The sequence below is a fragment of the Homo sapiens genome, chromosome 1, assembly GCF_000001405.40.
Source record: "Homo sapiens chromosome 1, GRCh38.p14 Primary Assembly".
In the NCBI taxonomy this organism is placed as follows: Eukaryota; Metazoa; Chordata; class Mammalia; order Primates; family Hominidae; genus Homo; species Homo sapiens.
This window is the reverse complement of record NC_000001.11, coordinates 15,312,336-15,326,158: the sequence shown is the minus strand read 5'-3', so window position 1 is coordinate 15,326,158 and position 13,823 is coordinate 15,312,336. Positions and strand designations below refer to the sequence as shown.

Below are 13,823 nucleotides of genomic sequence, written 5' to 3'. Positions count from 1 at the left end.
TTACTGCACAGGGGAGTTCTAATGGGAAACGTCTTACGGACATCTCTGCAGTGACCCTGCCAGGAGAAGACCAGGTGACATGAGGTTCTCAAAGCCATCCTCTGGTTTCATGGCCAAGTGGAGGGTCCCAGCTCACCCAAAGAATTGACTGTGTAGAGGAAGCCCTATGAATGATGGTCCCCCATTGCCATCAGGGGCTCCCCACAGGAATGGCTGCCCAGGGCCATTGGGAGGGAGAGGTCATCTTAGACATGGCCTCGGGCCTGGGGTCACTTGGCTGGGGAAGGGCAGACTATTGGACAGGGAGCAGGGCCTTGGAGATACAGGAGAGGGAAGGCACTGGGAGGCAGAGAGAGGGCTTGTCCTTTCTCTCAAGTCTAGACCTGGAGCAGTCTCAGGACCTCCAGGGCTCCTCCTGGATGACCTCTGCCCAGAGCTATAACAAGAACCTTGGCCCTTGGGCAAGGAGCACGGGTCAGACCCTCAAATCAGGTATGTGTTAGGGGGAAGATTGGGGGTAGCCAATGTGCACAGGAAGAGGCCCAGACAGGCAGGTTCTCTGCCCTTGATAAGGGGCTGGCGCCCCCACAGGAGAAATGGTGCTGGCGGTTACAGTGGTGAATATTTGAATTTTAGGGTACAGGGACAAAGGCCTGGTCACACTGCCTGGTAAGGCTTGGATGGTAGAAAATGGAAGGGCTTTGGGAGCTGAGCTGGGTGGTTTGAGAGATCCTGGCTTTTAACCTTTCTTGGTAGTTCACAGACCCTCCTGAGAACCCAGTGGGAGACATGGGGGGCCCTCCTTCCCAGTAATACACACACACACACGCACACACACGTGTGTGTGCAAACCATTCTGTGGATCCCCTGGAGTCATGGTTTCCAGGAGAGGGACCCCTGTGGAGGAATCTAGGGTGGGCTGCCCCTGGGGGACCACATTCCTCAGGGTCATATGCCCTCCCATCTTGGTTTCCTGTTTGCTTTCCCTTAGCTTTTGGTAAACTTTCGTCTGCACATTCCGGCCCCCATGACTGTGTCACATTTGCCAGGAAGGGCCACCGGCGATTTCAGGCCACAGCATCAAAGAAACAGCACCTCCAGACCAGGTCGGAGTGGCTCACCCACAGCCGGGAGCTTCTCCATCCAGCACGCACTTTGGACACTCCAGGGTTTTACCTTATTAAGAAAAGTGGCATTTCCTTATAGACACTGTCTGTAATGTCTGCTGGGGCCCAAGGGGAAGAAAGATTGTGGTAAATGTCAGGACTAAAAACATTAAGGAGAAAATGCTAGAAACACCACTGGGGGCAAGGAGCTCGGTTAACTGGGGGCAGGCATCGAGCCGGGATTGGCTGCCTGGTCCGGGTCTCGGGTCATCGTAAACTATTCGAGTGGGAGGCCTCCCAGCAGCAGAAACCTGTTAAGCGATGTCCATGGGGGTGGGGAGCTGCAGACAGCCTCTGCTCATGAGATAAATGGGAGAATTAACGCACGTCTGTCTTTCTACCTTGGGCGTCCTCCTCTCTCACCCCCACTGGCTGCTTGGGTGCAATCATTGGAGAGCGTGGGCCAATGAGGGGGGCTCTGGAACATGCCTACCTGACCTACTGCCCTCTCCAAATTGATTTTAATGACGCTCTCTCTGTTCCCCATTTCTTGCAGCTGAAGCAATTTCCTTCTGGAATCCTCCTGAAGCTTCTCTTCAACCTGAAATGACGATGAAAGCGAGTACTTGCTGCTAATGTGATCATAATGCACTCTGGGGAGATTCCTCTAGGATGTCTAATGGCCGTGGGGGGTCCCAGAGGGGTAGGCACAGCTGCAGCCCATGTGGCAGGGGTCACAGGCGTGCGCGGGGTGGAGCCAGGCTAGGGGGGCACTGTCCGTTGGGGGAAAGGGCTGGGCTCTGCACCCTGGGCTCAATATTTGTCCTACCCCAGGCTCTAATCCCAGCCCGGTCCCTAGCAAGCTGTATGACCTCAGCAAAGTCATTTCACTGCTCTGTGATTCAGTGTCCTTATCTGTCAAATGGGGTGATACTAGTTCCCTCTTCGCAGAGTTATTGTGGGGATTTTAAAAAGTTTGGAATAGTGACAGCGCTTCGTAAGGGCTCTATAAGTGTGTTAGATGTTGTGACCTAGAACAGGTGGATGACAGTAGCCACTATACAGAGTCATCCTAACACCATAAGGAACTGCCGCCCATCGTGGGCACTTGGTAAATGTTAACTGCTGGGTTTATTATTGTAACTGTTTATTGCTACCACTTCTAGCACACTTACCAAGGGAAACTGCTCTGGGAGCTAAGCAATGGCTAGTAAAGAATTGTAGCCTGCAAAAGAAGGCGTTTAAAGTGGGGAAACTTGCCCATTTTCCCCCGCTTGCTCGAGTAATGGGCAACTCGAGGTGAGCTTGGGCGTGTTCGGTGCTGCCCTCTGCTGGCCATTACAGGACCCTGCAGCTGCTCAGTTCATGTCTGAACCATGAACATTTTGGGCATCTGCTGAGCCAGGGCTCAGGCACTTGCAGGAAATGAGACAAACTCTCCTAGATGAGAGGATTTTGTTCTGAAACAGCCTCACAAGTGGTTTATTAGGGGGCTAGAGAGGGGTCACACAGATTTCATGTAAAACACCCAGAGCAACCTGTAAAGCTTTCTTCTGAGTGGCAGGGTGCAGCCAGTCCCCAGTGAGCTGTTTCCCGGGAAGGCCGGCTAAGCTCGCTGGGCCTCAGTTTCCTCACTTACATCCTCTCAGGTGTAAACATACCCCAGCTTCTGTTTCGGCGGACGTTTTTCAAATGCTGCGAAAGCAGAGGCTGTCCTGGGCTCTGTTCTGGCTCCTCCTCTCAATGACTGGCCTCCCCGCCCCCAGCCCCAGCTCTGGCAGTCCTGTTCTTCATATCACTGCCACACAGCAGGCCTTTGGCACCAGCTGTCAGAGATTTATTTATTGAGCTCCTCCTCTGTGCATGGTGATAGGGTTTGGCTGTGTGTCCACCCAAATCTCAACTTCAATTGTATCTCCCAGAATTCCTAAGTGTTGTGGGCGGGACCCAGGGGGAGGTAACTGAATCATGGGGGCCGGACTTTCCCGTGCTGTTCTCCTGATGGTGAATAAGTCTCACGAAATTGACGGGTTTATCAGGGGTTTCCACTTTTGTTTCTTCCTTATTTTTCCCTTGCCACCGCCATGTAAGAAGTGCCTTTCGCCTCCCGCCATGATTCTGAGGCCTCCCTAGCCATGTGGAACTGTAAGTCCAATTAAACCTCTTTTTCTTCCCAGTTTCGGGTGTGTCTTTAACAGCGGTGTGAAAACGGACTAATACACATGGTCTGAGGCTAGGCCCTGAGCACCTTTGGCCGTGACGCCTCCTTGCCTCTAATTTATTTCCTTCCAGAACATCCTTCATGGTCCTGTGAGAGGGTTACCAAGTGGTGGGGCAGCACTGTCTGGTAGAACTTTCTGCAATGATGAAGTGCTCTAACTCCATACTGTCAAATAGGGTGGACACTGGCCACATCTGGCTATTGAGCACTTGAAGTGTGGCTCATGTGACTGAGGGACTGAATTTTACATTATATTTAATTTCACCTAAATGGCCACACGTGGCTAGTGGCTATGCCACAGTAACTGGAGTCAGACAGGCCTGGCTTCCCCCAATCTTGGCTTTGCCACTTACTGACTGTGTGCCTTTGGGTAGTGACTTGACTCTATGCTTTGACTCCCTCAACTGTAAACAGGCATCTTGAAAAGCTCCAATATATTAAAAAAATAATAAAATGGGCATAATAATTTCTAGGTCAGAGTTGTGAGGATGAAAAGAGATGAAATGTTTGGCAAAATGCTGAGTCCATGCAAAATTGTGGCTATCATTTTCACCATTATTATTAATCACAAATTTAAACATATTAGTTCCCTGTTCAAGAGCCTCAGTAGCTCCCCACTGCCTAGGTAGTACACAGCCCACACTCCAAAACTAATGAAAAACAGCAAGCCAAAGATTCAAGAAGCCCATACGAACCCCAATAAGATAAATAAAAATGAATTCACACCTAGATACATCCTAATAAAACTGCTGTAAATCAAAGGAAAAGAAACATTTAAAAAATCCAGAATACAAAAAGATTATACAATGGTGCAATAGTTAGGTTATAGGTTACTTCTAAATAGAAACAAATGAAGCCAAAACACAATGGAATGATAGACTTACTGTCATCTGTAATGTGCTGAAAGAAAACAATTGCCAGTGCAGAATTCAATACCCAGTCAAAATATGTTTCATGAATGAAGGATAAATATAGAAATTTTCAGACACATACACATGCATACACACACATGCACACACATGCATGCACACATGTGCATGCAAACATGCACAATCACACATATGCACACACGTGCTTGCACACACAAATGTACACACACTCCTGAGAGAATATGACACCAGCAGAGCCATGCTGAAGGAAAACACTAAAGGATGTTCTTCACGCTGAAGAAAAATGATCTAGATGGATGATCAGAAATGTAGAAAACACATAATAGTAATGTGTAGATATGGATGTTGACTCTAGAAAAATATTAATAATGTCTTTTGGAGTTTCAAATATAGAGAGAAGTTTAGAAAATGATAACAATGGCATATAAGTCTGGATGGGGTAAGCGAAGTTAAAGTGTCAATCTCTAAGTCATTGTGTTAAGAAGAAGGACATAATTATTAATGAATATTGAATTTTGGTAAGTTGAAAATGCATATTGTAAAATTTAGAATAACCACTAAAATAGTAAGAGTTAAAAACTCACTAAATATTAGATTTTGATAAGTCACGAATGCGTGCTATTGTCTTATGATTACTAAAAGAAAAGTAAAAGAGAGAACATTTCCAAGCTAGTACGGGGGCAAAGGGAATGATAAAAAACTGTCAACTCGCCCAGGCATTGTGGCTCACGCCTATAATCCCAGCACTTTGGGAGGCCAAGGTGGGCAGATCACAAGGTTAAGAGATGGAGACCATCCTGGCCAACATGGTGAAACACTGTCTCTACTAAAAATACAAGTTTAGCTGGGCATGGTGGTGTACACCTGTAGTCCCAGCTACTCAGGAGGCTGAGGCAGGACAATTGCTTGAACCCAGGAGGTGGAGGTTGCAGTGAGCTGAGATCGCACCACTGCACTCCAGCCTGGCAATAGAGCAAGACTCTGTCTCAAAAAACAAACAAACAACAACAAAACAAACCCATCAACTCAAAAGAAGGAAAGAATGGGGAGAAAAAGGAACATAGGTAGTACACCTGGCCCTGAGCAAGTAGATAAATTTAAATCCCAATATGCCAGCAATTATATTAAATATACTTGGACTGAAAGACAAAGATGGTCAAACTGTATAAAACCTATGTGCTGTTCACATGAGATACACATTGTAAAATAAAGATTGACATAAAAAGTATGAAAAAGATAGTCTATGAAAACTCAAATCAAAAGAAAGCTAGTGTATCTGATGGAGCTACCTTAATGACAAAGACTTTAAAGGAAAAACATCTCTAGCAATGAAGAGGAACATCTTGTGATAGCCAAAGATTTGATTCGATAGGAAGTAATGAAATGGTAAATACATATGCATCTACTAACACAGCTTCAAAATATATAAAGCAAAGATTGACAATATTAAAAAAAGAAACAGACAAATCCACAATCATGTTAGGATCTTCAAACAATATGCCTCTCTCAGTGGCTGACAAAACACACAGACAAAAAAAATCAACAAGAGCATTTAAGTTTTGAGCATTATCGGCAAGCTTCATTTAATGTCCATATACAGAATACTAAACCCAATGACTGCAGGATGCGTATTCTTCTCAAGTGTGCACGTGGAACTGCAGTCGGCCACATGCAGGCCATAAAACAAGTCTCAATTAATATCAAAAGATTGAAGTTACACAGAAAATGTTCTCTGACCACAGTGTAATTAAGCTAAAAATCAGTAACAAAAAAGGTAAGCAGAAAACCCTCATATATTTAGAAATTAGGAAATAAGCTGCATAGTAACCCATGGGTGAAAGAAGAAATCACAAAGGGATTTGGAAAATATTTTGATCTGAATAATAACGAAAATACTACGTACTAAGACTTGTGGAATGCAGCCAAAGCCTTGTTTAGAGAAAAATTGATAGCCCAGAGAGCATTTTGACTCCATGTTCATGACTACAACTATTTAAAAGAAAAATATACCATAGCAAGTTCATTTTCATTGAGAGGGTATTTTCTAGAGCAAAGTTCATTAAGCCAGTTGTTTAACAGATTTCCAAATGTTTCCATTTTCACTTTAGTCTCCTGAAATTATTTTGATCTGGATCAGTTCTTTTGTAGGCAAATTATACAATTATGATTTGATTCATCCATAAGTTTTTCTGGACCCTATCAAATATTTACCAATCACAGGTCTGTCTGTCTGTGTTTTATTTTGTAGTTTTCATTTCTACCATGTCCATTTTCCCCATATTATATTTTACAAGTCTAAACTTTTTCAAGAATATTTGATTTTTTTAAGTGATTATTTTAATTTTTTGTAGACAGGGCCTCACTGTGTTGGCCAGGCTGGTCCTGAACTCCTGGTCTAAAGCAATCCTCCTGTCTCGGCCTCCAAAGTGCTGGGATTACAGGCGTGAGCTACTGCACCTGGACAAGAATATTTGATTTTTCTCTTAAGTTTTAATTGATAAATAAATTTTACTTTGTATAGTCTTAACTGTTGATTTTAATTTTGTGTTAATTATTTCTGCCAAGTCTACTTATGTCTGGCCAACTTTTGCAGGCTTCAATACTATCCATAAGATGTGATCCTTGTGTAGTATACATTTCAGCTCACGAGGTTTTAATGATTTGACTTCTGCTGACTATACTCACATTCATATTAAATAAAATTGGAGAAAAATAGATTATTTGCTTTTATTTCTCAGATCATCCCTGAGAACCTCCCTTCACATAGAATTCCTCTGCCTTTTAGATTTGTTCTTAAAATATTCTCAGTTGTGGTTGGGCGTGGTGTCTCACACCTGTAATCCCAGCACTTTGGGAGGCTGAGGCAGGAGGACTGCTTGAGGCCAGCAGTTCAAGACCAGCCTGGGCAACATAGTGAAGCTCTGTCTTTATTTATTAAAAAAAAAAAATTCTTAGTTTTCTCAATGACAACCATCTTCTAATCAAATAAACTAGATGATTCAAATGGAAAGAAAGAGATTCTGTCCACACTGCTCAGGACTCTCGAAGATATTTTCAGTTAAAAAAATTAAAATAAATGTGTGATCCATAAGCATCTTTTATACAACTCTTCAATTGGTTATGTTGCTAAAAGAGGTCACCATTAATTTAAAACAATAGGACTTGCTGTGCTGATGGAAATTTCCATATCTGTGCTGTCCAGTGCAGCAGCCACCAGCTACACGTGGCTACTATGCACTTGGAACGTGGCTGGCAACTGAGGAGCAACGTTTTGTTTTATTTATTTTTAATTAAATTTTTTTTTTTTTGAGACGGAGTCTTGCTCTGTCGCCCAGGCTGGAGTGCGGTGGCACGATCTCAGCTTGCTGCAACCTCCACCTCCCAGGTTCAAGTGATTCTCCTGCCTCAGCCTCCTGAGTGGCTGGAATTACAGGCCTCCGCCACCACATCTGGCTAATTTTTGTATTTTTAGTAGAGACGGGGTTTCACCACATTGGCCAGGCTGGTCTCGAACTCCTGACCTCAGGTGATCCATCTGCCTCAGCCTCCCAAAATGCTGGGATTACAGGCGTGAGCTACCGGCTTTAATTTAAATGTAAATAGCCATGCGCGGTTAGTGGCTACTGTTATGGATAGCGCAGGTCTGGAGTATGCAATACAATTTTTTTTCCCATGATGGGAAGGGACATTAAAATAATTAAGCAACACGAAACTCAAAACTGGGATTGGGAGGCCAGAGGTGGGTCTCATTACCAAAAAGCAAGAAACAGTTTTAGAAGGCAGTGAGGAGTAGTGGGGTTACTCACAGGGGCCTTGGAGTCAGACCAACCTGGGTTCAAGTCCTGCCACAACTACTTTATGCAGTGAACCTGGTCCCTGTCCCTGTGTGAGCCTCAGTTTTCTCAGCTGTAAGAAGGGTTAATACCAGCATAGTCCACTTAGAGGACTAACAGGGATGATGAGTGGGGAGCTACCGCCCACACCACTCTCTGGGCCTGTTGTCCACTACGTACCTTGCTTTTTTCTCTCAGAGTCCTAGAGATCACGCTTTGTTCAGTACAACTCTTCCTCAGCTCTGCCCTAAGCTTCTTCATTTCTTTCTCCATGTCTTGGATTTGCTGAAAAAGTTTCAACAAGAGTGAACCTCCCTGATGGGGGCAGGAGCTGCCTTCTTGGCTGAGAGGTCTGAGCCCTCATCATCCCCTGGCATCCCATCCATTAAGGTGGAAACCTTGTCTGGTATCAGCTTATTTAATTCCTTCTCCTGGAGGAAGGTTTTACATCTCTCAGCAAAATAGACTTTATTTTTCGACTGATATATTAAAAGTTCTGGATAAAGGAAATTAGTTTCTTTTGGAAGTCAGTACAGCTCCTGGATTAAGGACTACAGGACACCCATCAACTCACTTGAAACCCTGCTCTTGGGTTATATTTTTGAGTTCAATCTAAAGGGCCAACTGTTTGGAAGACTCAACAGGCAAGGTCTGGAAGAACGGAACAATGAAATGTTTTTTCTTTTTTGTTTGAGGCAGAGAGTAAAATGTTCCTGGCCTGGAGGAACGGTGCTGGCGTGGGGAAGAGCAAGTTGGAGAAGCTGAACTTCCCGAGTGGAAAACGCACACCTGGTGATGTGCAGGGTGGATTCGGAGGGCGTCAGGAATACACCTCCTTTGACTTTTAATGGTCTTATTTTCATTGTATTTATTTTTATGGTTACCTTCTACATAAGGCAAATAACTTTTTCTTTTTTTGAGACAGAGTCTCGCTCTGTTGCCCAGGCTGGAGTGCAATGGCACGATCTCGGCTCGCTGCAACCTCTGCCTCCCGGGTTTGAGCAATTCTCCTGCCTCAGCCTCCCAAGCAAGCAACTGGGATTACAGGCACCCGCCACCATGCCCAGCTAATTTTTTTGTATTTCAGTAGAGACGGGGTTTCACCGTGTTCCCCAGGCTGGTCTAGAACCTCTGAGCTCAGGCAATCCACCCACCTTGGCCTCCCAAAGTGCTAGGATTACAGATGTGAGCCACTGCCTTGTTTTGTTTTTACAAGTGGGTGTTAAATAGTTGTGTTTAAATAAAAATACTTCAGGAAGTGTCAACAATGGTGCCTGTGGCTAGGATAAAACTTGGGACAGTGGAATACATGTTTGGGAGTCACAGGTCAGGGGTGGGGCAGGGGACCATGTGGTGGCCAGCTGGCCAGCCTCCTGTCCCTGTCCCCGGTCTCAACCCCAACCTGGCCCCAGGGGAAACCCTTGAGGGAGCTAGAGCCAACTGCCCAGGGAATCCTGGGGCCCCTTCACCCATCTCTTTCTTGCAGAAGCAGCAGATCAAAGAGCAATGAGACTATGTTAAACAAGCAAGCACAGAGCCCCAGAGCTTCATGCTTAGTGATGGCCCAGGATCCCACCAAGAACCTCAAGGTCAAACTCTGTTTTTTCTGGTGGTACCTACAAAGGAGGAAGCTCAACTCACGGTTTTGCAGAGTTTTAACTCTTTCTCCTGGGCTTCCCTGAGCTCCCTGTGAGCATCTTCCTGTTTTAACTCTTCCTTTAGCACCGAGCACTGTGGAGAAAAGGGCAACACAGAAAGAGGCCAACGTTGGCCAGGTAGGGTTGTCGGGGGAAGGAGGGGCTCCAAGGCCCCATGTGAGCCCCTGAGAGCATTTCCTGCTGTTTCCATCCAGTCACGCACTGAGATCCCAAAAGGCATCCCATGGTGTCTGACGGGCACACAGGATCCCAAAGCTGTTCCTGCTTCTCCACTCAGGAAATCAGAGGAATAAAGCCACTACTCTCATCTTCAAAAGCCAGCAATCTAAACCACAAGGAAAATCCAGCTTTGGAGAGTCTGTGCTGAGGAATAAACACGGATGTCCTTGGAGGGCCACTAGCGAGCCTGGACGGCTCTCAGTGCTTCATGCAATTCACTCCTCCAAGACACCACTGCCCTGGGAGCGGCGGTGAAAATGGAACAGCCGTTCTGGAGGGCAATTTGGCAACGGGCATTAAGAACATATATAATGGGCCTCCTTTTTGACCCAGAAATTCTGCTTTAAGAATGTATAAGGACAATGGCTGGGCAAATCAGCAAGTCTGTAGGTTCAGGGATGTTTTTGAGAGTATTGTTAGCCATAGTGAACAAAAAGGAAATACCCGGCTGGGCGCGGTGGCTTGCACCTGTAATCCCAGCACTTTGGGAGGCCGAGGTGGGCAGATCATGAGGTCAGGAGATTGAGACCACCCTGGCTAACACGATGAAACCCTGTCTCTACTAAAAATACAAAAAAATTAGCCAGGTGTGGTGGCGGGCGCCTGTAGTCCCAGCTACTTGGGAGGCTGAGGCAGGAGAATGGCGTGAACCCGGGAGGCAGAGCTTGCAGTGAGCTGAGATCGCGCCACTGCACTCCAGCCTGAGTGACAGAGTGAGACTCCATCTCAAAAAAAAAAAAAAAAAAGGAAACACCCATGTCCGATAACCCGGGGCTGTTTGATTCCATTGTGCACAGACAAGAGAATGTCATGGAGCTTTAAAGACCCATGAGAAAAGCTCTTATCCATGTGAGGAAACAGTAATTGTTTAAAGTTTAAAAAATGTATATAGTGTAAATTTGTTGTTATATATCTGTTACAGATATATTTTTTCCAGGTAATTTTAGAAACAAAACAGAAGGAATATGCACTCAAGTACTGACATAGATTTCTTGGCGGTGGCATTTCTCTTCTCTCTTTAATTTTGCTCTCCAGTTTTATCTACTTTTTATTCTAAAATTAACACAGCACATGTAATTTGAAAAATAAAGACAGTCATTCGGATGTTCACATGAGCAATACCCTTGGTCACGAGGAGCCCACGTGCTGATGAACGCCAGGTGCGGCCTGGAGAAGAAGGCAGACCTGTTCCAAGGTCAACGGGGAAGGGAAATGGGGACACAAGTAACCCAAATGCACTTCGTGGGCAGAAGAGCTCCGGAGCTGCTGTTTCTCCGTATTTCTCCCACCTAACATCAGCTCTACAGCCCCGACACACATCCACACACCCCACACACCCCACACGCACCCCCATACCACACCACACCCACACATCCACACGCCCCCTCACCCACTCACCTACACACATCCACACCCCCACACACCCATTCACCCCCACACCACACATCCATACCCCCACACACCCATACACCCCCACACACCACACTCACACACACACCTACCCATATCCACACACACCCATACACACTTACACACATCCACATCCCCACACACCCATTCACCCCCACACCACACATCCATACCCCCACACACCCACATACATCCTCACACCCACACCCACATACCCACACACCTGAAAGGGCGACAACACATGTAATCCAGGCGGTGACCCTGCTCGGGGGACGGATGCAGAGGGCTGGGCGAGGCGGGCTAACCAGCCGCAGAGGCGGAAGCGCACAATGCAAACCGGCCTCTCACTTCTCAAAACTGATTTTGTTGTTCCCATTTCGCTGATGACAAAGGGGAGGCCACATCAGTTATAACAAAAGCCCACTCTGGGCTCGGACCCTGGTCTGTGTGCCCCCGGGGCTCCTGTCCTGCCTTTCCCCAGCTCCAGTTGGGGCACTGCGGTCAGAGCCAGAGGTCACTACTGCTGCTTCATCCTTGGACCCCCAGATCCACCCTGCCTGGGTGCCCATGCAGACTTGGCGAACTCTTCAGGCACACCTGAGATGAAAGCTGTTAGGTTTTACCTTGACTCACCGAAACAGACACATCTCACAAATACTGAGAAATCCTATAGGTTCAGGATTCTAAAGTCAGAGCATTGAGGTACATTTTGCAAATAGTTATTATTATTATTATTATTATTATTATTATTATTATTATTTGAGACGGAGTTTCACTCTTGTTGCCCAGGCTGGAGTGCAATGGCGCGATCTCAGCTCACTGCAATTTCTGCCTCCCAGGTTCAAGCTATTCTCCTGCCTCAGCCTCCTGAGTAGCTGGGATTACAGGCGCCTGGCTAATTTTTGTTATTTTTAGCAGAGACAGATTTTCACCATGTTGGCCAGGCTGGCCTCAAACTCCTGATCTCGTGTGATCCACCAGCCTCGGCCTCCCAAAAGTGCTGGGATTACAGGCATTAGCCACCGTGCCTGGCCTCAAAATTACTTTTAAACAGCTCTTGACTTGCCTACCAGGTTCACTCCACACAGAATATTCTTACCCACACTAAAGTCTAAGGGAAGAAATGAAAGTCTGTCTAACTGCACTTGGGCCTGCAAACATTCTGCTTCGAAGGTGACTGTGCAAACCAGTGGTTACTGGGATGAGGGGAAGCCCACCGTGTCCTCTTTTGCATGCAGTGATTCTATTCTGCTTTAATATTAAGCCTTGCCATGGAAATAGCCAAGCTGAGAGGTGCATTTACTGCTGGAATTAACCAAACTCATTTATAATGGGCATTAGAAAATGTTTCCTGGAGTTGAAGCTACATCTTGCTTATTCTGGGGCACGTGCACGCCGATCTTTGAAAAGGTGCAAAGAATGTGGCCAGCTGTTTTAGTTTTTCTAGGTAGGCATTTCATGTTTTGCCCCCAACGCCCACCCCCCCACCACCCCGCCCCCAGCACAATGGTGTGAGAGGAAGGAATGAAATTTAAACTAAGGGCCCAGGGTGAATGAAACAAGCATATCACGTGACTTCACTTTAGCTGCTTTTCACCGGATGGCTACAAGGTGACGCAGTCATCCTTACTCACTCTAGAGCCAAGGGCTTCCAGCTGGTGGTCCTTGTCCTTGTTCTGACTTTTTAGGTGACTGACCTCTTCCTTTAGTTGTTGAACTTGCTCATCCTTTGCTAATATGTCTTTTTGCAAAGATGACACCATCCCTGTAAAAAAGAAGACTCGCAGAGGTCAAAGAGGCAGTGAGGATGACTGTCATCGCTGCCGCTGTCAACCAGTTTGTGACGAGCCTGGCACTGAGAAGGGAGGTGTCTCCAAGGATCCCAGGAGCTTGAATGGGGTTGAGACCAATATCCACTGCACATCATTTGTTCAAGGTCCCAGTGAGAAGGAGAGGTCAGTCAGTGCGTGTTGCTGGAGACAGGAAACATCTGTCGGGGTGCTGTGGGCATCGGCCCTGCCTGGGAACAAAGGCTCAGCAGAGAGAGGGACCAGGAGGGGCCACGACATGGGCCTGTGGCAGCAAGGGACGTGTTGATTCACACTCATCTGAGTTTGGAAACCGTCTCTAGCACTTACTAGCTCAGTCGTCTTTTTTCTTGAGACAGGGTCTTACTCTGTCACCCAGGCTGGAGTACAGTGGCACGATCATGGTTCACTACAGCCTCGACCTCCTGGACTCAGGCGATCCTCCTGCCTTGGCCTCCCAAGTAGCTAGGACTACAGGTACGTGCCACTATGCCTGGCTAATTTTTGTATTTTTTGTAGACATGGAGTTTTGCCCATGTTGCCCAGGCGGGTCTCAAACTCCCAGGCTGAAGCAATCCACCAGCCTCTGTCTCCCAAAGTGCTGGGATTACAGATGTGAGCCACAATGCCCAGCCTAGCTTAGTGGTCTGAAGAAGTTATTTAACCTCTCATTGTATC

The 13,823-nt window shown here is 46.4% G+C and overlaps 1 protein-coding gene and 1 long non-coding RNA gene across 44 annotated transcripts in view, besides 1 other annotated feature; one reads left to right on the top strand and one right to left on the bottom strand.

The window, feature by feature from the left end:
- Positions 1–13,823, bottom strand: part of FHAD1 (forkhead associated phosphopeptide binding domain 1) — a 166,490-nt gene that overhangs the window by 76,852 nt on the left and 75,815 nt on the right. For 38 of the 43 annotated variants that reach the window (XM_047443734.1, XM_017000198.3, XM_017000199.3 and 35 more), the window contains 4 exons: positions 12,972–13,102; positions 9,692–9,781; positions 8,231–8,335; positions 1,600–1,707 (listed from right to left, as the gene is read on the bottom strand). In XM_047443734.1, the coding sequence (XP_047299690.1) occupies positions 1,600–1,707; positions 8,231–8,335; positions 9,692–9,781; positions 12,972–13,102 (434 nt within the window). Of the gene's footprint in view, positions 1–1,599; positions 1,708–8,230; positions 8,336–9,691; positions 9,782–11,560; positions 11,712–12,971; positions 13,103–13,823 lie in introns of those variants that run through there. The other 5 variants (XM_017000202.2, XM_047443801.1, XM_047443737.1 and 2 more) reach the window with 3 other exon arrangements.
- Positions 776–1,540: an enhancer, noted in NCBI's record as "H3K4me1 hESC enhancer chr1:15651115-15651879 (GRCh37/hg19 assembly coordinates)". NCBI's record gives its function as "activates a minimal SCP1, AML or CMV promoter by ChIP-STARR-seq in naive H9 embryonic stem cells {active_cell/tissue: H9 hESC(naive)}" and the evidence as "EXISTENCE:reporter gene assay evidence [ECO:0000049][PMID:30033119]".
- Positions 3,077–9,315, top strand: LOC124903852 (uncharacterized). Its single transcript, XR_007065481.1, has 2 exons — positions 3,077–3,251; positions 8,750–9,315. It is a non-coding gene; the product is annotated as an uncharacterized LOC124903852 (long non-coding RNA).